This window comes from Homo sapiens, chromosome 4 (genome assembly GCF_000001405.40).
Source record: "Homo sapiens chromosome 4, GRCh38.p14 Primary Assembly".
Classification (NCBI taxonomy): Eukaryota; Metazoa; Chordata; class Mammalia; order Primates; family Hominidae; genus Homo; species Homo sapiens.
In genome coordinates this window covers 66,115,507-66,141,983 of record NC_000004.12, presented here as the reverse complement: position 1 = coordinate 66,141,983, position 26,477 = coordinate 66,115,507, and the positions used below count along the sequence as shown (strand labels likewise).

Sequence of the window (26,477 nt, the reverse complement as noted above, 5' to 3'; positions counted from 1 at the left end):
TCATGAGAACTGATGGGTTAAAACTGTGTGGCACTTCCCCCTTCTCTCTCTCTCTCTCTCCTGCTCTGACTTGTGAAGAAGGTGCTTGCTTCCCCTTCACCTTCCACCATTATTGCAATTTTTCTGGGGCCTCCCAAGTCATGCTTCCTGTTAAGCTTGTGGAACTCTGAGTCAATTAAACCTCTTTTCTTCATAAATTACCCAGTCTAAGATAGTTATTGATAGCAGGGTAAAACAGACTAATACAGCCACCAAAATTTGAGGTTATTTGAGGAAAAAGAAACTTGAGGAAATACTTGAAATTCGTTGATCATTATCTATTCAACTCTCTTCCAGTTATTTAGGGTCCTAAATAAATTCTCCAACAAATGAAAATATGTGCACACACACTCACATACATACATACAAATTCTCACAATTTGGTGTCAAAAACATAAAGCCCATTTTTTGGAAAGATTATATTTTTCTACCAAATTAAATTGCTACATATAATTGTCAAATCTAATAATTTTATATATGATATAAAATTAGTAAATTCACTGATTTTAATATTAAATGTGGTTTTAAATTTTAACAGTATTTTATTTTGAATAAGTTATTTGTAAACAAATATTGGAATATTTATTTTGGCCTACATTATATTTTATATATTGTATGTAATATATATATTTTATATTTGAGATACATTAAATATTTAGCTTTGTTGATTTTTATCTTATACATTCTAAATACATTTTTTCTCTGAACATTTAAACTTAATATTAGTTATTATCTTGTGTTACAACCTCTAGTAATTTGTAAATTCTAACCACTTTTAAAGTTAATACTGAAAAACATTTTGTTATGCTTTTTATTCCCCCAAGGAGAGGCAAAAGTATCAATCAACGTTGCTATCCACTGCATTATTGATGCATAAGGACATGCTCAGAATTGATACAAAAGCAAGGGGCTAAATACTGACCAGGTAATAGAACAGATATTAATAATAATCCTCTATACAGTATCTAAATGTCAGAAATGTATTTGTAAGCATTTAATATATATAAGTTTTTAAATTCTGATAATTTGGGCAGAGGTTATTTTGAACAGTCTATCTTCTCCAAGTGTATATGATGTTACTCAGTAAGTTTCTGTGTGTCCAATGTTTCTTCTTTCCAAATAAGCATACATTGCTCTTTTTCTCATAGTAACTTATTATAGATATTTAATTTTTCACACTATTATAGTTTTCCAAATTTATTCCTTCAAATACAATGACATGCGAGGCTTTAGACAAATAGCACTAAATGTCCTCCTGTCCTCAATGATATCATGGTATAGATAAGTGAGAAACACACAAACCAACTATTGCAATTCATGGATATGAGTGCTATAAAAATATTTTAGAAGGGAAAACAGGAAGAACAAAGTGAAAGAGCGAATTATGAGAAACTTGATTTGGAGACTGATTGAAGGGACTTTTCACAGGGCCTAAGTTATATAAGAAAAACAGTAAATCAAACAAGATATTTATTTTGGTGGATAAAAAGAGGGCTTGCCAATCTATTAGAAAGTAATATAAAAAGTTTACTAAGATAAGGTAAGTGGGAGCTGGAATATATAGGGTTGTGCCATTAAGAAAAAATGTTCAAATTTATAGACTCAGAGCAATTCTAAGAAACCGCAAAGTTTAGATCAAAATCATAAGTGCTGGTAGCTGAGTGTTGGCAGTCATGGGATGAGAATAAGAAGGTACATTCCATTCATTAGTCTGTCTGTTAAGTATACCTGTGTTTTGAGTATAAATGTGTTTTCTAAAATCAAAGACCAATTCAAGTTCATTCTGAATTATGATCCAACATTTTATATGAATACTCTACATCTATTCTATGCTGAGATTAGGACCATTTGAAGATTAGTGAGCATTCCATTTCAACAACTTTCACAAATGTAAAATCTGAGTTTATTTTTTGCATCTACTCAGTATTGCAGCATTGTTGTTTCACAGTTCAAAGCCCATACACATATTATATAACCATATATTTATTAAGAATTTATTACATATTAAATACTGTTCTAGGTGCTGTTTATACAACAAACTACAATGTGATAAAGGTTCAGAGGGCAAATTGTTTCCCTAAGTATTAATATTCTTACTCTCAATAATGCCTTCATTTCTAAGTCATGTGGAACACACGGTAGGCAACAATTCCAATGATATTTATTAATTTCTTCCCATCATATAGACATCAGGTATTCAGTAACACTAGGCTTTTAGCTCTCCACTATACCCAAAAGTTTAATACTTGGAAATATTTTTAAAAGGATAAATTTTTTTTCCTAAAGTTTCTAATTTCAGTTATGATTTTTCTTCATAAAAATTTCAGAATATTTTACTTTTTTTTTTTTTTTGAGTCAGAGTTTCGCTCTTGTTGCCCAGGCCGGGGTGCAATACCGCGATCTTGGCTCACCACAACCTACGCCTCCTGGCTTCAAGCCATTCTCCTGCCTCAGCCTCCTGAGTAGCTGGGATTATGGGCATGCACCACCACGCCTGGCTAATTTTGTATTTTTTAGTAGAGATGGGGTTTCTCCATATTGGTCAGACTGGTCTCGAACTCCCGACCTTAGGTGATCTGCCTGCCTCGGCCTCCCAAAGTTCTGGGATTACAGGCATGAGCCACCGAGCCTGGCCTTATTTTACTTTTTATCACATTATTATCAAGAGTTTTGAACATTGTCTGCTTGGAGAAAGCCACTGAGTTTATATCTAATACCTACCTGTTTCCTATGCTTCAGTATTATATCTCAAAATAAATATATTTTTCTGTGACCACAAATGCAATATATCCAAAATGGTTTTCTTTTTTCTTCAAGTCAGATCCTCTACCAATTTGTCTGTCTTTTAATAATGGTATCCTGTGTTTCCAATTATCCTTAAAGCAAATATTTCAGTACCTATAATTATTCAGTCACAGAGACCCATCATTTTTCTTCAAATGATGTGATATTCCTTTTCCAAATTTCTGTCTATTTCACCTTATCATTCTAACCCATACCCTTAACCCTCACATAGCATTATTAAAATAGCCTTCTATGTAACCTTCTATACTAAATTTACCATTCAGTCTATAAGATAAATCCCAGATCCTATAGAATTGAAAATGGCCATGGAATCTTGGAACCCCAACTTTTGTCATCTGAGTATTATCTCCTTTTAATATTTACCTAGAATATTATTATCACATCAGTTCTTACAAAGACAATTCTCCCCATCTTTCAAAAGGAGCCCTTGGGGCAGTATAATTGAGAGAAGATTGGAACACTTAAGTTAAAAGCTTCTATTGATTTGGTGTTAGGGAAATAGAAATAAATACCAAAAGGGAAACAAAATTAGATATTTTGGCTCCTACATATTTAGAATAGTTGTCTTTAACTTGGCATGCCTTAGGGTAATAATTACCTGTTTAGAGTTCAGGCTGCCACTGCTTTTCAGAGCCCTTCTTTCGTCTATACAAAATAAGAGTAACTTAACTATATCTGGACTTGAAATTGAGGCCTGAGATATCCAGATCCAGAAGAGGCTAAGATTCCCTCTTGCCAACTGAGATCTCTCTTCCTGGAACACACATTTGACATTTCTGTTGGCTGTCCAGAATCAGAAACACTTTTATGTTTGGGAAATTTCTGAAATTATGAGTTGAAGTTGACTTGCAGCTAACATTAACATATGAACTAGACTTTGCCAAACAAATGCAGCTACCTGTGCATGGAATCGAAGGATAGTGGTGTAAAATATAATAGACATTAGTGATAGTTAAAAAATAAACTTTCTAGAAGCATTAGTGATGTCAGATCCTGCAGAAGCTTCTGATGTTCCAAATGCTGGCAACCTAAAGCATAGGATATAATATTTGATGGCTGATGCGGTATTTTTTTTTTTTTTTTTATCTAGAATAGTGTTTCTTAAAGTGTGTTTCTTGTACCAGTGGCAATAGTAACATCTAGGACTTGGTACAGATGCAAATTCTCAGGTCCTACCCCAGACCTACTCAATCAAAAGAAATTCTGAGAGTGGGACCCACCAGTCAGTGCTTCAGCAAGCCCTTGAGGTACATGGACACTAAACTTTGAGGATCATTGATTTAGGATGTTATTTCAGGCTGCCTTTAATACTCACTTAGCCCTTACATGTGTTTTTGGTGTTGGCACCTTTGTCTCTGTATAATGTCAGCAACTTTGATCTTGGCATAAACTAGTAGTCACATTCAATAGAAGCCAATAAAAGCACCTGAACTTTGCCCTAAAGAACTTTTATCTGGTTTGATTTCCGTCTGTCTGTGATGAGCCTACAAATCATGGCCCCTGGGTTCTCACACATTTTCTCTGAACCTCAGCTTCTTATCTAATCCTGCTTGAATTTGGTGATTTGACATTACACTTCGTATCTTGTCTGTAATCTGAAAATGGTGCTAATGATGGTAGGTAGTGCCCTGGTTACTGCACTGGTAGCAGCATGCCCAGGAATAGTGCCCCTAAAACAGGAAGTTTGAGTCATTTAATATGTCCATATATTATCTCCTTTTAGGACTAGAAAATCTATATGGTCAGCGATTATGCATTATACTTTTGTATTCTGCTCATTAAATAGAACTGTGAAGCTCAATCATACCTATATTTTATTCATTGTGTAGATAACTTTGATTTTACATCCACTTTGATTTGACAAACCATTTTATTTACATTTTAATTCATTTTCAATCAAAATAAATCACAGCACCAAGTGGCTATAGAAAAATGAACTGTGCAATTGGACATCACATTGAATTCTTATATTGACTAATTTTTTATCTTTCACTAAATCTTATCAGTAACCTTCTATCTATGAATCTAAATGCTATTATAAACTCTTAAATGATACCTCTGTTACTCAGAGCCTATTGCAAAATTTGATGAAATTGTCTCATGGGATTGTGGTAAATTAAATATGATCATAGATTCTGGTCTACTCCTCTTGTTAAAAGTGGAGCCGATCCCCCAAACCCTTACATCTCAGCAGCCCTCATGACCTGCTTTGACCAATAAATGATAGTGGAAGTGACCTTGTGTGAGTTCTGGAGCCCAAGCCACACGAGGTTTTGCAACTATTCTACATTCACCCTCTTGAAACACTTCTGCCATCTTATAAAAAAATCTGGTCTAGCTATCTAGAAAATAGAGACTGTGGAGGCGAGCCAAGGTGCCTCAGTTGACAACCAGCCAGAAGCTTCCAGAATGAGTGAGGCCATCATTGGTCTCCTAGGGCAGCTGACCCACTAGCTAGTGGTAATCACATGAGTAAGCCCAGGTGCAACCAGCAGAAGAACCACCCATCTAAACAACAGAATTTGGAGTAATTATAAATTGTAATTTTAATTCGTTATATTAGTAGTTTTGGTGTTGCAGTAATAGTTAACTAAATATTTTTAAAATAGTAATTAATGTTCTGGATTGTTTTTGTTATAGTTTTATATGTTGTCTTCTTTGGCTTATACTGCCAGTAATGCTTGATCAGACATTTTAAGAGGAGCCTTTGGAATTTCTTTTGTTAGAATTTATTTTAAAATCATTAAAGACTTCACTTTTAGAGCATATTTATTAATGATCTAAGAAAATCTGGTCTCGATGCCAACTGTGTACTTCCAAAAAAATATTCTATCATTCTAACTATTTCCCTGCTTTCTCCTCAGACAAGGTCATAGTTAATGGGCTTCTCACTGTGCATCTGAAATATGATGACAATTAAAGAGAAATCCCTCTTCAAGCACATGCAGCATTATAAAAATGACTTCCAAATAACAAACTGAGAATACACACGTAACACTCATATCTGATAAGTTCTAAGTGCTTAAGTTATTTGTTACTTCCTTGAAGAGTATAGTTTAATGAATCTGTTAAAAATCAGTTAAAGTATAAGTAGAGAAGACATTATTCATTGATAACTCCTCTTATTAATCAATCAATACTTTTTTTTTTTTTTTTTTTTTGAGATGGAGTGTCACTCTTATTGCCCAGTCTGGAGTGCAATGGCATGATCTCGGCTCACCGCAACCTCCACCTCTCGGGTTTAAGCAATTATACTGCCCAAGCCTTCGGAGTAGCTGGGATTACAGGCACCCGCTGCCACACCCAGATAATTTTTTTGTATTTTTAGTAGAGAAGGGGTTTCGGCATGTTGGCCAGTCGGGTCTCGAACTTCTGACAGGTGATCCACCCGCCTCTGCCTCCCAAAGTGCTGGGATTACAGGCATAAACCACCATGCCTGGCCAATACTTTCTATTAATTTATTTATAATCCAAATTTAATGTGATATCTAATATTTACATGCAATAGCTCAGATAATAGGTATGAAGCTAAAAAATATCATACATCAAATATGCTAGTTAGAAAAAACATCTTGTCTCTAACTTTTATATTAAACTATTTAAAATATTTTTCAAATTTTGCTTGTTTACAGAATTTTCTTGAAATTACTAAACATAATTTTTGAATTCTTACCATATGCTAGATGAGTTTTCTCAGCACAAGGGACTCAGAAGAACAAAGCAGAAAAATCTTTATTATTGGAGCTTGAATTCTAGAATGGGAGAAGAAAGATAATTCATATAAATGAGTAAATTATAGTAAAAGTATATAATTATATGATTGTGTACATGTTGCGTGGTAAGATATGCCATGTATTTCATGGTAATAAAGAAAAAAAACTAAACAGAAAATAGATGTAAAGACTACAGATAATTTGGAAGGGAATGGAGCAGTGTCATTTTACATAAATTCGTCATGAAATGCCTCACTGAAAATATGGCATTTAAACCAAAGTCTTAACAAATTCATTAACGGAGACAAGGAATACATCTGTTTGAATACTGGGATGGGTCCAATTTACAAGGAAGTGCAATCGCAAAGACAGAAAACATGAGCATGTCTGTACTTTTTAAGGAATGTCTGAGAAATTGGTGTAGATGAAAAGTATTAAATGATGCCAAAAGCAGTAGATGCATTTGGAGAGATAAGGTAAGGCCAGATCATCTATAGCCTTACAGATTATTATAAGATTCTGGCTTTGACTAGGAGTGAAATGAAAAGTGATTTAGAACATTTTCAAACAGAGTACTTGCTGTGGTATAAATGTTGATGTCCTCCCCCGAAAAATTAAATGTTGGAACCTAATACCCAATGTGGTAGTATTAAGAGGTAGGGCCTTTGGGGTGTGATTAAGTCATGAGGGCACCATCCTCATGAATTGGATAAGTGCACTCATCAGTGAATCTTAATCAAGCTCCCTAGCCTTTTTCCACTATGTGAGAACACACAGAAAGCAGCATCTATGAAGAATAGGCCCTCACTAGATATCAAATCTGCTGGTGCCTTTATCTTGGACTCTCAGTCTCCAGAACTGTGAGCTATAGAATCTGTTGTTTATATGTTACCCAGTCTGTGATATATTGTTACAGCAGCCCCAATAGACTTAGACAGTAGTCTTTTGATTGGACTTGCATTTAAAAATGATTACCTTGATAACTACATAAAATTACTTTTTGTTAGTGAGACAGGTTGTTGCCATCTTCTGAGAAATAGGTGAAGGACACTTGGACCATGGTGATAGTGCAGAGGGTAGAGGTAATATATAATAGAAAGGTTAAGATACTACATATAAGAATTGAGTCAACATTACTACTGTGAAGTTGATGACGGATGTGAGAGGCAGAAAAGATAAACATGACTCCAGTGTTTTATTTTAAATCCATGGATATTTTTCCATAATGTTAACATCTATACAATAATTTCTTTTTTTTAATTTTACTTTAAGTTCTAGGGTACATGTGCACAACATGCAGATTTGTTACATATGTATACATGTGCCATGTTGGTGTGCTGCACCCATTAACTCGTCAGTCATTTACATTAGGTATATCTCCTAATGCTATCCCTCCCCTCTTCCCCCACCTCACAACAGGCCCCAGTGTGTGATATTCCCCACCCTGTGTCCAAGTGTTCTCATTGTTCAATTCCCACCTATGAGTGAGAACATGCGGTGTTTGGTTTTCTGTCCTTGGAATAGTTTGCTCAGAATGATGGTTTCCAGCTTCATCCATGTCCCTACAAAGGACATGAACTCATCCTTTTTTATGGCTGCATAATATTGCATGGTGTATATGTGCCACATCTTCTTAATCCAGTCTATCATTGATGACATTTGGGTTGGTTCCAAGTCTTTGCTATTGTGAATAGTGCCGCAATAAACATACGTGTGCATGTGTCTTTATAGCAGCATGATTTATAATCCTTTGGGTATATATCCAGTAATAGGATGGCTGGATCAAATGGTATTTCTAGTTCTAGATCCTTGAGGAATTGCCACACTGTCTTCCACAATGATGGAACTAATTTACACTCCCACTAACAGTGTAAAAGCGTTCCTGTTTCTCCACATCCTCTCCAGAACCTGTTGTTTCCTGACTTTTTAATGATTGCCATTGTAACTCGTGTGAGATGGTATCTCATTGTGGTTTTGATTTGCATTTCTCTGATGGCCAGTGATGATGAGCATTTTTTCATGTGTCTGTTGGCTGCATAAATGACTTCTTTTGAGAAGTGTCTGTTCATATACTTTGCCTATTTTTTGATGGAGTTGTTTGTTTTTTTCTTGTAAATTTGTTTAAGTTCTTTGTAGATTCTGAATATTAGCCCTTTGTCAGATGGGTAGATTGTAAAAATTTTCTCCCATTCTGTAGGTTGCCTGTTCACTCTGATGGTAGTTTCTTTTGCTGTGAAGAAGCTCTTTAGTTTAATTAGATCCCATTTGTCAATTTTGCCTTTTGTTGCCATTGCTTTTGGTGTTTTAGTCATGAAGTCCTTGCCCATGCTTATGTCCTGAATGGTATTGCCTAGGTTTTCTTCTAGGGTTTCTATGGTTTTAGGTCTAATGTTTAAGTCTTTAATCCATCTTGAATTGATTTTTAGGTCTAACATTTAAGTCTTTAATCCCTGTTGAATTAATTTTTGTATAAGGTGTAAGGAAGGGATCCAGTTTCAGCTTAAAGAACACTATGTTGAATAGTTTTACTGTAATTACCATAACCATTTCTATATGCTGACTGTCACATTGTAATAAACATAGGTTTTCTGAGAATATAATGTGAGAAACTATGTTAGGCTTAAAAATGGATGAAATGTATTCCCTGTTCTTGAGTAGCCTACAAATTTAGTGTGAAAAACAAATATCTATAAAAATTATTTTAATTCAGAGTAGAAACTGATAAGATATAGATAAAAACATGAAGATACATGAAAAAAATAATGTGCACTAATCTGATATGGAGCATGGAGGTCATAGGAGTAAACTTCAAAGTACAGAAAGATTTTTTTCAGAGAAAAATATAACAACTTAAAGAGAAAAAAAGACTTGAATAAATGGGGAGACACACCATGTTCATAGACTGGAAGATGCAATATTTTAAAAGGGAAAAATTTCCTAAGACTGACAATAGATTAAATAAAATTCTACTTAAAATACAGAAATGATTATTATTTATTATTATACTATTGAGCCAATTAAGAGAAAATAACGAGACACCCATAAATAAAATGACCAGGTAAAAAAATCTACTCTGAAAATAACAAGACAATATTGAAACAATAATTGTTAAGATGATATTGTATTGGTTCAAGTGTATTAAATAACCTATATAAGTGGAGCAAAGAATTAGCAGAAATATTGATATGTTGTATGGAACAACGTATGCCCAACATGGAATGAATGATCAATACAGAATAAACAATCTTTTAAATAAATGATGGTTGAGCAATGGGATATCAATGTGACATAGAATGAAATCATAAACTCTCTTCCTGCTACATTAAAATATCAATTCCAAATAAAGAAAAGCTAAAACTATGGACAGAATATTATTATGTAGAATATAATAGAGTGAAATATTTACAAGAACCTACTTCAATGCATGTTATGAAACAATAAAAAAAGCTATGAGAATAGATTAAAAGACTAATGAGTTAAAATACAAAAAAGTTAATATTGTATTTATTAACATAATAAATAATATATATAATAAAATATATAAACTGTATTTATCAAAAGATACCGTGAAGAAAATACAAATACCAGTCGCAACATGGGAGAAAATACTCAACATTTAAAAAGCTAACAAAAACCCTGTTGCCCAAAATATGAAAAGGATATTTTCATGCAGTTAAAAAAAATAACCCAAACTGATGGAGGGAGGGGGGAATTTCCAAAATGTATAAATGAATTTTTTTAAAAAGAAAAGTGAAATAATTATATGAAAAGATGTTTAATCAAATTAGTAATCAGGGAAAAGCAAATTAAAATCTCAAAAAATACCACTACTGAAAAAAATAACCATTGGTAACAAGGACCTGGAGCATGTTTTTTTGAACATTTTTGACATTATCTGTTAAATTATAAAATTTGTATACCCTCTGACCCAGAAATCCTAACACTATGCATAGACCCTACATAAAATGACAAATGCATGCACTAAAAGTCACAGGACATTCATAACACCATAGTTTGGCACAGGCAGGCAATACAAACAATCCAAATGGTCATTTACAGTAGAATGGATTTAATAAATATATGATATATTCATACAATGAAATATCATATGGCAATAAAAATGAGTGAGCTAAAGCTATACACAAAAATTCGGATGAATCTTATAAATAATATATTGGACAAAAGAAACCATATGGAACAGAAGTATGTATGGTAGGAGTCCATTCTTACACATTTTAAAACCAAGCAAAACTAAAAACAGTATTGCTTCAGAATCTATACATAAATCTAAAATAAAGAAATTAAAATAATGATTAATGATTATCACAACTCAACATAGTGGTTAATTCTTGGGGAAGGATTAAGTTCCTGACAGAAGAGAATTCAGGTGGCCTCGGAAGTACTGAAAATAATCTATTAGATTTTCCGTAGAACACAAAATGATTTACTTTGTTAATTTTGTAACACTCTGAATATATGTTCTACTTAATTTCTTTAGGTAAGTTATATTTTTAAATTTGTAGAAAAGTTTATATTTTGTCGTGAAATCATTCCAAAGATATTAGGCTTTTGTTTAAGTAGCAGGAACAAAAAAAGAACGTGTATATGAATGCCATAATACTGAGAACACAGAGTCTCTCAAATCATTCTTTTCATGTAATTTTCATAGCTAATAATATAACAAAATGAAGCTATGAGATAAACTGTAAAATCCAAAAAATATATTAATATTGAAAAAATAATATAAGATAAGCAGCATACTCTACTTTCAGAAATGACAACATGAGAAGTTCAGGGAATCTACTGTAGAAAAAAAGAGTATACTATAACTAGCCATACTATCATAAACAACAATTTTAGAACACTGAAAAATATTCAAAGATGGACAACAGCTTGAGAAGTATAGTTGATATTTGTTATTCGTGGTACTTATATTCTATAACTTTGCTGAGAACACTGAATTAATGAACCCAGAATCATTGCTCTTGGGGGAAATTCATGGTTAGATTCCCCCTAGCTTATAGTTACAGTATTTTCATCAACTGATCAATAAATAATCTTCTTTTATGGGTGTTTCTCTTTAAAGATGCCCTATTAAATCTATGTCATTGATTCATTAATATTGAACTTATGGCTGGCGGCACTACTACTCATGCCTGAATGGGTATGTCTGACATGCGTGTTTTCTCTGTAAGGCACAGCACAGCCTTCTTGTACTGAGGAACCCAGACAGCATTTCAGTACTACACTTCAGGGTCAATTTAAACAGCAAAATCGTCAACAAAAAGTACAAACGTGAAAAATGTGGCTGTAAATAGACTGTAAAAACGACCCTCGTTCATTGTATGAGAACTAAACAAGGGAGAACATTGTCTTTTTCTATCTCATCTGGGAACATGTGCCACTCAAATTTTTCACCATTTTGTGCATGTCTGCGAATAAGCACCAAAGCCCATGAGTACAGCTATTGCAATTACAAATGCACATTAGCCAGTAGGCAAATTTGCAAATATAGTATCTGTAAATAATGAGGATTAACTTTATCGACTTACAAAAAATTACACTGCATTGTATACGATGAGTGAGTTTGTGATCTTCTTACCTGGTGGAACTTTTATTCTGGTCATGACAGGTGGCAAAACCCAAAGTTTTACCTTCAGAAGTGATGAAATAGTTAAGATAAGGTGACAAAGCACCTAGAAATTTAATGCAGAGATTTGGAAATTGAGAGAATAATAGAAACACTGTTATACTAACCTACCCCACACCCCTGGCTTACCGCTGAGGTAAGAAAGTACAAAGGAGATCCCAGAAAGTCTGGTCAGGTCAAAATTTACAGCCAGATGAAGGTTTAAATTTTGCTGTGCCTCTGAATGCAACCCTCAACTCACGCATGGCTCAGGCAACAGAGGATGGACATCTTACTGGGATTATTTTATCTGGGATTACAGGCGCCCACCCCCACACCAGGCTAATTTTTGTATTTTTCGTAGAGATGGAGTTTCACCATGTTGGCCAGGCTGTTCTTGAACTCCTGACCTCAAGTGATCTGCCTGCCTTGGCCTCCCAATCTTTCTTTGCTTTTTCTTTTCTTTTCTTTTTTTTCTTTCTTTCTTTTTTTTTTTTGTTTTTTTGAGACAGGGTCACACTCTGTCACCCATGCTTGAGTGCAGTGGCACAACCACAGCTCACCGCAGCCTCAACCTCCTGGGCTCAAGCAATCCTCCTACCCGAGCCTCCTGGGTACCTGGGACTACAGGAACATACAACCACACCCTGCTAATTTTTGTATTCTTTGCAGAGATGGTTTTCATCATGTTGTCCAGGATGGTCTCTAACTCCTGGGCTCAAGTGATGCACCTGACTTCGCAAGTGCTGGGAATAAACACTTGCCTTGGCAGGTGCATCACTTGAGCTCAGGAGTTAGTTGACATGTTTGGGATTACAGGCATGAGCCACTGCACCTGGGCATGTACTACATTTTCTTTAGTCTATTGTCAGTGGGCATTTAGGTTTATTCTACGTCTTTACTATTTTGAATAGTGCCCTGCCACTGTTTTTAAGTCCATGTTCCTTGGAGTGTGTCCTTCTCAAGTGTTGATTAAGGAACAGCTGGGGCTTTGACTAGATTTTTGTATGTACACAGGTGGTGAGCTTCTACCACGTGTAACTCACTAATTTTTGGTATTCTCTTCCTAAATTTCCAACCATTATGGTAGCCCCAGACTGTTTTCTGACACTCCAGCCAATGAAACTATGCTTTTCTGCTAGAGTTTGGCCATGCTGTGCAAATTAAAGAGAGCCTTTAGGGGGAAAAGTATGTAAAGCTGACACAGTGTGGTTCTCTTCCATAAAGGGTAAATCTTATCTATTCTCTGCCTTAAATTTTTTAAAAATACATAGTTCAAGTTATAGTTGATATATGCAGGAGGATCTGTCTGATGCAGTCAGTTCCATCATTATTGAACATACTAACCAATTTTAAAATATGTACACACACACTGACACATACGTTCATGTACATATTCTGATAGCATAAGATTACATATTTTAATTAGCAACCCATTATTTTTTCATGTTATTTATGGAACTCTACTCAAACCATATAAAAACTATACACAGTCCATAGTTTTATTTATCATAATTAATTGAGCACACACTCAAATTAAGGAGCTATGAATTTTTCTCTCTTATAGATGATGATGCATTGAAATCATTGTGATAGTTTGTGTATTAATTTATCTCTTTTACATAAGGTTTTGGGAGTGGAATATAAAACAAAGGGTATATACATTTTTAAAATTTGGATATCTATTGCCTCATTATGGCAGTATCATTTTCTATTATCACCAATAATATATAAGAATATCTATTCAGTGTCTTGATCATTATGACAATATTATTAATTTCTGACAATTAAGTAGTCACAATTGCTGTTTTGTATTATCTTATTGGCTTTTCCTGACTTTGTAAAAGGCATAGGTATTACAGCATTTTAGAAAATATGTCTTGGTTAGGTTGACATGAAGGGAGAGGGCTGTTATTTTTATTTATACAGGAATAGCAACATTTTTACACTACTGAGGACAATTATTGCACTATTCACCCAAATTTTTAGAGTGGCTCTTCTGTACCTGGCACCAGTTTAAGCAGAGGAATAACACTTTGAAATATCATTTACTGCAGATTTCCTCTTGTTGATAATCTATGCTAAGGTAAGGCATCTACATTACATTACTAATTTCTGAAAATAAGGTATATGGACTTTATTTTATAGTTTAGGTAAACTGTGCATCAGAAAGGTTTTGTGGCTGAGTTTAAAGAGTAAGAAAGAACCAGAGCTAATTTGTTTAACTCCAAAGTGAGTGCTTTATGGTATTAAGTTCAGGTGAAGGATAAAAAAAATTAATTCCATTATTACAGTGAGATCAGGACTATGATTGGAGAAGTAAAGGAAACTCTGAAATATTTGAATAGGTGTATCTGGCACTGGCTTGGTTCTTCAAGTTAGTATTCCTGATAGAAGCAGTATCTAAGCTGAGACCACAGGGATAACAGCCGTCAGACAGGCAAGGAAGGTAAGTACGTTTCAACCAACAGAATGACGTGTGCAAAGATTCAGAGACAAAGATGTACAGTATTTTGGGCAAAGAAATGTGCACATCAGTCTGACTAGTGTCTTGTAAAAATAAACATCAGCGCTAAATTATGTGTACACAATTTAAGTTCCTCATGGATTTTTAGATTTAATTTTTATTATCTATTAGGCATTTTATCAGACCTATATTAAAGATAAGATAATTGAGGCAAAAAGAAATAAGATATCTTTCCAAGTTTAAAAATGAATGATAATCCCGACTCAGGATTTGAACGCAGGCTTTTTTTAGAGTTTGGATGCTTACCCAAAATGCTATGCTATCCTGTGGCAATCTGTGTTAAAGGGTTTAGATTTAATTTAAAGACACATGTAAGACATTGAAAAGGTTTATGCAAAGAATAATATGATCAAATGTTCATTTATGAAGGATAGTGCTGACTACAATGTGGAGAAATAATTGGATGGATTTGGAAGAAAAAGTATCCAGGGTGAAAAAGAGCATGCAGTAAAACTTTTCTGTACAATTGCCCTTTGAACACAATACTTACAAATATATAAGAGTAGTCTTCTTTCCATTACATAAGTAATGCAACTGGACATATCACTGATTTTGTTTGTTAAATTGATGATTTTATTTTAAGAGATTGTAATCATTCAACAATATTTTATTTTTGTGACATAGATAAAATATTTTAAAGTGATCAATTTATAAGCATTTCTAAGCAACTTCCCTCTATAAGCAAGATGTGATATTGTTGTTGTATTTCAAAAGGCACTGTATTTGTAATCAGTGAAACATGGAATCGAATTTGAGATCTGTCATTTATTAATTGTATGACTTGAACAGGTTATGTAATATCTATGCATGTGAGAAAAATCGAGGTCCTACAGGAATTAAATGAGATATATCAACAGTCTTTATATAGTGCTAAAAACAGTATTTTCTCAGATGATGATAGTAATTATATCTAACTAGATGCAAGGTTTTGACAATGTTTGAGTCATTTTAAGATTTTTTGTATGTGTATATATCATTTACATTTTATTCTTCTTCTTAAGTAGTATTGAATGCACCCGGGATATAATGAATTTTAAAATATATACACACGTGAATCTATTCTTAATTTGGTTGACAATTTTTCAGTTCTATGTATATGTATGCACATACACAAAGATTCTATTTTTCTGATATTTTTACAGAAATTGAATTGCAATATACATATTTGTCTATGAATTCTTATATTTCTTTTCTTTTTTTTTACTTCATAATATGGCTTAGAGAGTGTTTTTTAATGCATCTTTTTTTTACATGGCTGCCTAGTTTTCTAAAGGATATAGTCTTCTATGATGTAATTTGTTCTTTATTGGTAGAGCTTTAGATCTTTCCAACTGGTCATAATTATGAACAATATTTCTATGAACATATTTGTATGTAATTTTAAAAGGATATGTAAATATATATATGTATATAGTTGTGTTTCTATGAAACAGGTTTCTTATGCCAAATTTATACATTAGTGGAAATACTCATCTTAAGTCTGTCACAGATGCTCAAATATGCTCCTACAATGCCTGTGTCAATTTAATTGGCACAAGGAGTATATAAAAGTGCTCTTAATCTCATACCATATTTGATAACGAATATAATAAAATTGAAAAAAAGCCAGTATTTTAGGGTTGAAATAGTCTTATTTCATTTTCCATTTCTTTGCTTATTTTCTGATCAAGCACTACACAAGACGTTTGTGCCTTGTGGCAAAGTTACATAGATACTTGATTTTTATGGATAACTATTTACACTTGTGTTATTTCAATTAAGTGCTCTTTTTGTTTAATGTTAGAGGATTATTTGTATTGTCATGAAATTCTCTATAATAAGAATTTCATTCAGCCTTTCATTTCTTGTTAACTTTGTTTATATAACATTTTTACTCTATAGAAACTTAAAAATTTACAGTTAAATCTAGAAATACTTTACTTCAGAATTGTGAAACTCATGCTACATCTTTCATTACAAGGTTATTTTTAAAACTGTATTTATTCTCATCTCATATCTTAATAGTTTAGTTATATACATACATATGTATAACATAAATATGTATTTTTTAATATATATATATATAAAATGTCCTTTTGCCATTGTGAATGTATTTTCACATAGGTATAATATGTGATGTGCAGATTTCATTATATTATTTTATAAATGGGTAGCCAATTACAGGTTAATAAATTATAAAAGATCATATTTGACATAAAAATATTGCGTTAAAATTTATTTAAAATCATTTTATTTCCTTTGCAATTTTAACTTGCTACAATTAAATTTTCTACATTTCCTATTGCTCAACACAGGTCAAATTATCATAAATGCCATTTGTTATGTAATACCTTCTTCAAATAACTGATTGATTTGCAAAGTAGAATTTGCTCTTACTTATACAAAATAATATGTTTTAGACACAGTTACCTTTTCAGTCTTGAAAAGGTAAAAATCTCTCTGCCCACCTAATCATAACCCAAATTTTTCCATGTTCAATCTTGCCAATGTGTTCACTCTACCTGAATTGATGCAGGACAATAGATCAAGATTTGCTCTTCAGTATCTGTATTGCCCATGAGCCATATTCTACATGATTTATATAAACGTTGACCTAATGTCAGCTTCATATTTCTGATAAAGTTTTGGTTGTTTGTGCTTTGAGTGCTATGTCTCTCTCTGTTTCTCTGGTTCTCTCTCTCTCTCTCTCTCTCTCTCTCTCTCTGTCACACACACACACACAAACACACACACGCAAACACACACACATACACAAGATTTAAGCCTTTCTATTGATCTTTTATTTTAGTTATATTTATGGATAGAGGAACTGTGTGAAGCTTGCTGAGTAACTGATGATGTTAAGGTGATATATCACTCTGATATAAACAGATTAAAATAAAGAACCACTGCTTAATACTAATGAAACAGCACAGCACACTCAATTAGTCACTAAACAGCTTTTCACTCTTCTCTTACACCCAGGTCTAAAGGATTACTGGAGCTGTGGTTCAGTTACTCAAATTTTGCACAGCCTTCCAACAACATGTTATGGTTACCAAAGACAAGAGGCAATAATAGATTAATTCAGCAAGGGCTGAATATGCCATTAATGGCCATGCAATAGGCTTATCTGGGCTCACAAAGTAGCCCCCTTTCATGTCTGTTCAATGAGAGATAATAGTTGAAGGCATTAATCACACATATTTTCAACAAAACTTTTCTCAGTTAAAGACACCCTGCAAATGATGTGGTCCAATGCACATCCGCCTATTAGGGTTGCTATGACTATGGTGAGTCTGATCTGAAAGACAGGATACAATCAAGCCTGAGACAATGAGTGGATTTTCATATTTAATGGCCTTGGTTTTCAGCTTGGCACAGCAAACTGAATAGCAGTGACCCAAAGATGACCTTCTATTTTTCTTCTTTGATTTGTCCCCAGGGATGGACAAGGCATTGGGATCATGGGAGTAATCAGAAAACAAGCATGCCACCTTATGTAGATGAAAACACCGGGAAAAGTCTACCTTAGAAAACTTTTGTTTCATTACTGATATGGAAGAATCCCCTTTTTATTAAATTGTTCTTGAGTTAAAGGTATTTCTAGGAATGCAATGGAGATAAAAAGCATGCCAACCAAAAATCACAGGACCAGGGGCTTGCTCTACCATTAAAGGTCTTTAGTCACATGCCTTTATTTCTCAGGTTTTTGGTTTATCCATTGATCAAAGCATTTGAACAAGGTGTTCTAAATCCAGGTTTAAAAATACATTTATTTATTTTGCAATCTTAATATAGAATAAAAATAAGAATTAATTATCATGGATCTCTTCTCTGAGGCAAACATTAGATAATGCACAGAAAATGATGCATGCTGGATATGTCTGTGTTGTCATGTCTCATCCTTCACATGTCTGTACCATGAGTCATATTCAACTTTAAGAACATTGATATATTCTTCTTTTGTAAAAGTTTCCTAGGAACTTTTCCTCAAGAAAATATCAGATATCAATTATTCATCTTCATGAATTCTATACATTGCTCCAATTAATACTGGCAAATATTGATCACAGACAGTACTGTCATTTACTAAAATCCTGAATTACATGCTATTGAATATTGTGTGATGTACCAAGGAATCTGGTAACAAACACAGTCTTGTTTTTTAAAAATATATGTGTTATATATATAATTATATGGTTTGAAATTATTTAAATATGAATATATGTGTATATCAATATATAACATCCATATATATATTATATATATAAAATTCAAATGGCCACATTAAAACTATTAATTTATAAAACAGTTCACTAATTGAACAGGGGTTGCCCCAAGTTAACACGGGGAGTTAATTAGGAGATAGTGTAAATAAAGCAATCAGACAAAATACATTTATAAACTAAGAAATTTATCTTTCCATCCAGATACGTTAGTTATATTTCACTTGTTTAATTTAAGCCAACTCATTCGTTTAGCGTTTCTTCATCACTCAGCTTGAATTGTTTTTTCTTTTCTGTGTTTCCACTTCCCTTGGACATCAGTTATGGCATTTGTATTATTTGGCCTGCTATTATTGTTGTTTTCATGTATAGCTTTACCAGTAGTTGAAAACAAACCAAATACCTAATAAGGCATTATGAACCTTATTTATGAAGCCTTTATTTATTTAGATAATAGGGTGGAAAATGAATGAATACAACTTCACACACAAGAATGGTGTTTCGGATCTGATAGTGGATGAATTGATGGAGTCTTTGACTAAGTGTGTGTTGTTTAAAAAAAAATACAAGCTGGAAAGATAAGAAGATGAGTAATTACTGGTACAATAAATTGCCAAGAGCTATAACTACTTACATTTTTGTTTTCAAGAGAATTGGACAGCATTATATGCCTCTGAGATATGGTAACTTGGGAACAAACTAGATTCCTAGAGAAGAAAAAATAGAACCATTATGTTAAGCAGGCAAAGTTGTTAAAAATAGTTGTGTATAGGAGTCCAAGAGTGTTAAAATATGCTACAGGTATTTAATTGGTAAGCTGTAGAATTTACCTTTAAATTTTAAATGAAAAACCTTTCTGTCTAAAAGTATAAATTTCTATGTTAGAGTTCACACTGGCTTGTTTGTTTATAGAGTACCCTTTACTACATATGGAAAGTAGTAAAGATAGATTGAAAAATATAGACAGATAGATAAAAAGATAGATAAAATGATCTTACTGAAAACTCGTTTCTCACTGATGTACTATAGGAATCTGTTAATTAAAGGCTTTCAATAATTTTAAGTTTATTTATAGATTTTTGAATATTTAAAGAAACATTCTCTTTGATCACTTTCCTGATCTAGTTTGCCTACAAATACTTTTTTTTGCATTTCAGAACTCATTTGCATTTTCTTCCATGCGACTATCAAAATGCTAAGAACACAGCAAACTAATGCAGGAACAGAAAACCAAATACCTCATGTTCTCACTTATAAGTGGAAACTAAATTATGAGAACACACGGACACATACAGGGGAACAATACACACTGAGGCCTATCAGAGGGTGGAGGGTGGGAGGAGAAAGAGGACCAGGAAAAACAACTAATAAATATTAGCCTTCGTACCTGGATGATGAATAATCTGTACAACAAACTCATGACATAAGTTTACCTATATAACAAACCTGCACATATACCCCTGAAATTAAAATAAAAGTTAAAAAATAAAAATTAAATTTAAAACACAGAGAAAATATTTATTTCAGCATGACAAAATATATATATAGTGCGTGCATGTATATAATATGTGAATATATATACATGCAAACATGTATGCATACATACACATATAGACATATAAATAGATTTGAACAAGCTAATATGTAAATGTGATTGTTTAAAATGCAACAGTTATATTATTTAAAAATATTTGTATGGAAATATCTTCAAACATACAGAAAAGTTTCAAGGATAATAATAGTATATAGTAAATATACATACTATTATATTAGGGATTTTTAGAGAACCAGAATGAATGTGCATGTATATATATGCAAACAGAGATGAGCTACAAGTGAGAGACAGAGTAAGAGTGAGAGAAAGAGAGAGAGAGAGAAAGTGGTACTTATTCTAAGGAACTGGCTCACACAATTGTAGAGGTTAGCAACTCTGAAATCCACAAGGAAGGCCAGCAGGCTGGAAACTGAGGCAGAGTTCTTATGTTTCAATCTTGACTCAGATTTTTTTTAACTTCAAGAAGTCTTGATCTTTGCCCTTAAGGCTTTTAATTAATTTATTAAAGCTCACCCACTTTATGGAGGATAATCTGCTTTAGTTTAATTTCTACTGATTGAAATGTTAATCACAGTAACAAAAGACTTTCAGAGCAACATCTGTGCTGCTAGTCTTTCACCACACAGTCACCATACACTAAGCAGGCTGACATATAATATTAACCATCAAAACACTTTACACAATGTTTATGAATATTTGTATCTGTTTTTTCAATATCTATCTGCAATACTTTTCTGGACCATTTGAGATTAAGCTGCATATATCATAGCATTTTATTCCTCAAATATTTCAAAGTGTATACCTAAGAATAAGAATGATCACTAGCATAATCATATACATTTATTAACTTCAGCAATTTTAATATTAATATTATATTTCTGTGTAATTTATTGTCCATATTCCAATTTATACAATACCTTGCTTATAGTGTTTTTTTCTACATCAGTTTACTTGGTCCAATCCAAGATCAAGTATTAAACTTAGTTATTGTAACTTTTAGTCTCCTTCAATTTGAAATATTTCCACAGTTTTATCATGTCTTTTTTATCATGGCCACTTTTTTTTAAAAAAAGTACAATTTCCACACCACCTTATTTTTTTTTTTCATAGAACCTTCTGCATTTTTATTTTGTCTTGTATTTTCTCTTGCTTGCCGACAGGTTGTGAATTCCTGGCAAGGATATTACAGATATGATCTCTTAAGTCCTCCTCAGGTTATCACATCTGGAGAGACACTATGTTCATCTGCCTTTTACTAATAATATTAATTTTAATCACTCAGTCAAGGTGTTGTCTGTATAGCTGCAATTTTTTTCTCTGGCAAATAAGAAATATGTAGAGAGATCTCCCTAAGCCTACTTCTCATCAAATTCCTTTCTTTATTTATAAGCCTTTGCTTTTTACCTGAACCAGTTTTTACAGCAATGTTGATTCTCCATGTCCAGAACTCCTTCTGTAAATTGGCCTTCACAAATCTACTGTAAGCAAGAGTTCTCCCTTCTCCTCATTTTTTGTTTGTTTAATATCCAATATGGACTCATGGGTTTCTAGTTTTTCATTGGTCTGTGCTCTCTTAATGTCTTTCATTATTTTGGTATTCAAATCGTCTTATTTTTGGCTATTTAGAGCTCCTTCAGGCTACATCCCATGCACTGCGACAGTCTCCATCAGCCTTTAGAGTACTTCCTCACTTTCTGCTATAACAAGATATCCCAGGATGATCTTTTGTCTATTCTGTCCCAGCCTAGAATCAGCCATTTCAAGAAATAGCTCTGGTTCTTTTTAGGGGAAAGTGACAAATTCTATTATGAGAAACTAAGATTGGAGTTCCAGTTATGCCCATTGGTACTGGATTGTCTTTCTTCCTAAGTTCACTTTGTGGACAGAAATAGAAAGTTTGTTTGTTTATACATATGCATATATATGCGCAAAAATACATATACATAGTATCAAACTGATATTAAACTCAATTCCAACACGTCTTCTCAGAGACTTATTCTTATGTTTCCCCTTCTATATTGTGTATCATATATTCTGTAGTGAGGACTGTGGCTCCCCAAATCTCATTACATTTACTCATTTTCTCAATCTACAATACAAATAAATTTATTTTTAAGTGGATTCAACCATATCACTACCAAATATAAGTTCACTGAAAAGAATTCAGGAAACGTTTTCATTACTCCCCCACCAAATTTATCCTACTCAGAAATGAGGGCATACAGTAAAATTCTGTGTTCTTGGATTGCCTTGCTTCTTTTGTTTTTGTTTTTTCAAAGTGGCCATGTTAGTCATTTGAAATTCATTTATTTCTTTCAGTTTGATAACTGTTTTCAGTTTTACTTTATCTTCCCATTATTGTTGATATATTGGAATATGTATACATTAACAACTTCCAAAAGCCAAAAACTACAGGAAAATATATAATTACGAAAAATATAGTTATACAAATATATAGAGTCTCTGACATATCCTTCCCATCCCATTATCTACTTGCATGCAACTTTCCATTTTCCTGTTTTTTCTTACCTACATAAAAAGTAGCATTCTTTATATGCATTTTTGTCCTTATATCTTTTCATTGAATAATATCACCTGAAGTTATTCCATATTGGTCCATAGACTTTCTTCATTCTCTTACACCTTAATAGTACTACATTTGGTGTATGTATCATAAAATAAAAAAATCTTATATTGGAAATTTAGGTAGTTTCTATTATTTTTTACTTTAAAACACTTTCATCTACAAGCAAAGAATAGTCATCTGCATATATATTACTTTGTGTTTGAAATATATCTTCAGGGTAAGTTTTTAAAAGTTGCATTTCTGGGTCAAATCATATTGCCTAAGTAATTTTGTGTTATATTGCCAAATTTAACTCAATAGGAACTGGCCTATTTTTACACGTGAATGAGAGTCTTTCAAGAACTGTCACCCAAACTTTTATAAATACAAGTTTCTGATTTAGCTGATGTAATCAACTATCCCAATTTTACTTTTATTATGGGGAAAATAAAAATCTATACACCTGAGTAAGCTCTTCTAAAAGTAGAGCATAATTTTCTAAATCCCTGGGAGGCAACGAGTAGATAGTTGGCTCCTTCTTACCTTTCCCTGGAACAAAGAATTGCAGTGAAATTATCAGGCTCTCTATTAAAAAAAAATAGCTCTTATTGTTTTGAGATACGTCCCATCAATACCTAATTTATTGAGAGTTTTTAGCATGAAGGGCTGTTGAATTTTGTCAAGGCCTTTTCTGCATCGATTGAGATAATCATGTGGTTTTTGTCTTTGATTCTGTTTATATGCTGGATTACATTTATTGATTTGCATATGTTGAACCAGCCTTGCATCCCAGGGATGAAGCCCACTTGATCATGGTGGATAAGCTTTTTGATGTGCTGCTGGATTCGGTTTGCCAGTATTTTATTGAAAAAATGATCATCATCACTGGCCATCAGAGAAATGCAAATCAAAACCACAATGAGATATCATCTCACACCAGTTAGAATGGCGATCATTAAAAACTCAGGGAACAGCAGGTGCTGGAGAGCATGTGGAGAAATAGGAACACTTTTACACTGTAGGTGGGACTGTAAACTAGTTCAACTATTATGGAAGACAGTGTGGCGATTCCTCAGGGATCTAGAACTAGAAATACCATTTGACCCAGCCAATCCTGTTACTGGGTATATACCCAAAGGATTATAAATCATGCTGCTATAAAGACACATGCACACGTATGTTTATTGTGGCACTATTCACAATAGCAAAGACTTGGAATCAACCCAAATGTCCAACAAGGATAGACTGGATTAAGAAGATGTGGCACATATACACCGTGGAATACTATGCAGCCATAAACAATGATGAGTTCATGTCCTTTGTAGGGACATGGATGAAGCTGGAAACCATCATTCTCAGCAAACTATCGCAAGGATAAAAAAACCAAACACCGCATGTTCTCACTCATAGGTGGGAACTGAACAATGAGAACACTTGGACACAGGAAGGGGAACATCACATACTGGGGCCTGTTATGGGGTGGGGGGAGGGGGGAAGGATAGCATTAGGAGATATACCTAATGTAAATGATGAGTTCATGGGTGCAGCACACCAACATGGCACATGTATACATATGTAACAAACCTACACCTTGTGCACATGTAACCTAGAACTTAAAGTATAATAAAAATATATATATATAAAATAAAAAAAAAATAAAAAAAGAAAGGACTGGCATGAGTAAACAAAAAGTAGACTAAGTCTTACCAGAGAAATATTCTAGCCCCTATTGAACATAGAATTTTATTGATTTAAGGTAATTAGCTACCATCACATTTTCCTACACTCTGGAAAAAGATGTCATTAACTAGAGCATCTGTATTTTAATACATAATGTTGTATTCAATAAAACCATTATTACATGTGACATAAAAGAATAAGGCCAAAATATTTGTATAAACAAATAAAGAACAAAATGGTATAATTAATTAAAAGATGGAGAATTTTATGAGATTGTTAAGGTCTGTAAAAAGGTGACATTCTAAAATTTAAAAATATAGTATTTGACATTAAGAATTATTATATGGATTTAATGAAACATTAGCAACAGCAGAATACACGATTAGTAAACTGGAAAATAAACAAATAGAATGTATTTAAAGAGTATATCCACACTTAAATACATGGAAAAAAATGACAAACATATAAACAACTTAAAGATAGATGGGACATTGTGAAAAGGTCTAACATAATTTCAGTAGAGGTGCTAGGAGGGCAACGGAATACAGGGATAAAATAGAGTTAAAAAAAAAAAAAAAGAAAGGCGAAAAGATTCAAAACGTTGATTCAAGACCTCAGGTTACATATCCAAAAAGTTTTGCAACCCTCAAGCAAAGCAACACCTAGAAATACAATAGTAAGACTACTAAGAATCAAGGATGTATTGGACATTGGTTTTGGAAAATAATTTATGACTAAGTCCTCAAAATCATTTGCAACAAAAACAAAAATTGACAGGTGGGACCTAATTAAATTAAAGAGCTTCTGCCCAGGAAAAAAAAGTCAACAGAGTAAACACACAATCTACATAATGGGCTAATATCCAGAATCTTGAACGTGAACAGACACTTCTCAAAAGAAAACATATGGCAGGCATGGTGGCTTCTACCTATAATCCCAGCAATTTGGGAAGCTGAGGCAGGAGGATCCTTTGACCTCAGGAGTTTGAGATCAGCATGGCAACATAAGGAAACCCCATTTCTGTAAATAAAATTTTAAAATTAGCCAGGTATGGTGGTGCACTCCTCTAGTGTCAGCTACTTAGGAGGCTAAGGTGGGAGGATTGCTTTAGCCCAGGAGATGGAGGCTGTGGTGAGCCATGATCACACTAAAGCACTCCAGCCTGGATGAAAGAGAGAGACCCTGTCTCAAAACAAAAAACAAACAAACAAAAAAGACTGCTCAACACCACTAATCACTAATCATTAGATAAATGCAAATCAAAACAATGATATATCATCTCACACTAATCAGAATGGCTATTATTATTTCTTACTTTAAGTTCTGGGATACATGTGCAGAATGTGCAGGTTTGTTACATAGGTATACATGTACCATGGTTGTTTGCTGAACCTATCAACCTGTCATCTAGGTTTTAAGCCCCATGTCCATTAGGTACTTGTCTTAATGCTCTCCCTCCTCTTTCCTCCCACCCCCCAAACAGGCCCCAGTGTGTGATGTTTGCCTCCCTGTATCCATGTGTTCCCATTGTTCAACTCCCACTTATAAGTGAGAATATGTGGTGTATGGTTTTCTGTTCCTGTGTTAGTTTGCTGAGGATGATGGCTTCCAGCATTTCCATGTCCCTGCAGAGTACATGAATTCATTCTTTTTTACATCTGCTTAGTATTCCATGTTGTGTATGTGCCACATTTTCTTTATCCAGTCTATCATTGATGGGCATTTGGGTTGGCTCCAAGTCTTTGCTATTGTAAA

At 33.4% G+C, this 26,477-nt stretch overlaps 1 long non-coding RNA gene across 1 annotated transcript in view, besides 1 other annotated feature; it reads right to left on the bottom strand.

Annotated features, from left to right (window-relative positions):
- LOC105377261 (uncharacterized) overlaps nucleotides 1-26,477 on the bottom strand; it is a 148,733-nt gene that overhangs the window by 9,950 nt on the left and 112,306 nt on the right. The window contains exons 3-4 of the long non-coding RNA XR_007058453.1: nucleotides 19,556-19,628; nucleotides 6,518-6,596 (exon numbers count right to left, since the gene is read on the bottom strand). This is a non-coding gene — a long non-coding RNA (uncharacterized LOC105377261). The remainder of the gene's footprint in view (nucleotides 1-6,517; nucleotides 6,597-19,555; nucleotides 19,629-26,477) is intronic.
- Nucleotides 17,336-18,222: an enhancer, noted in NCBI's record as "VISTA enhancer hs840". NCBI's record gives its function as "enhancer in: forebrain[10/10]" and the evidence as "EXISTENCE:transgenic organism evidence [ECO:0001131][PMID:17130149]".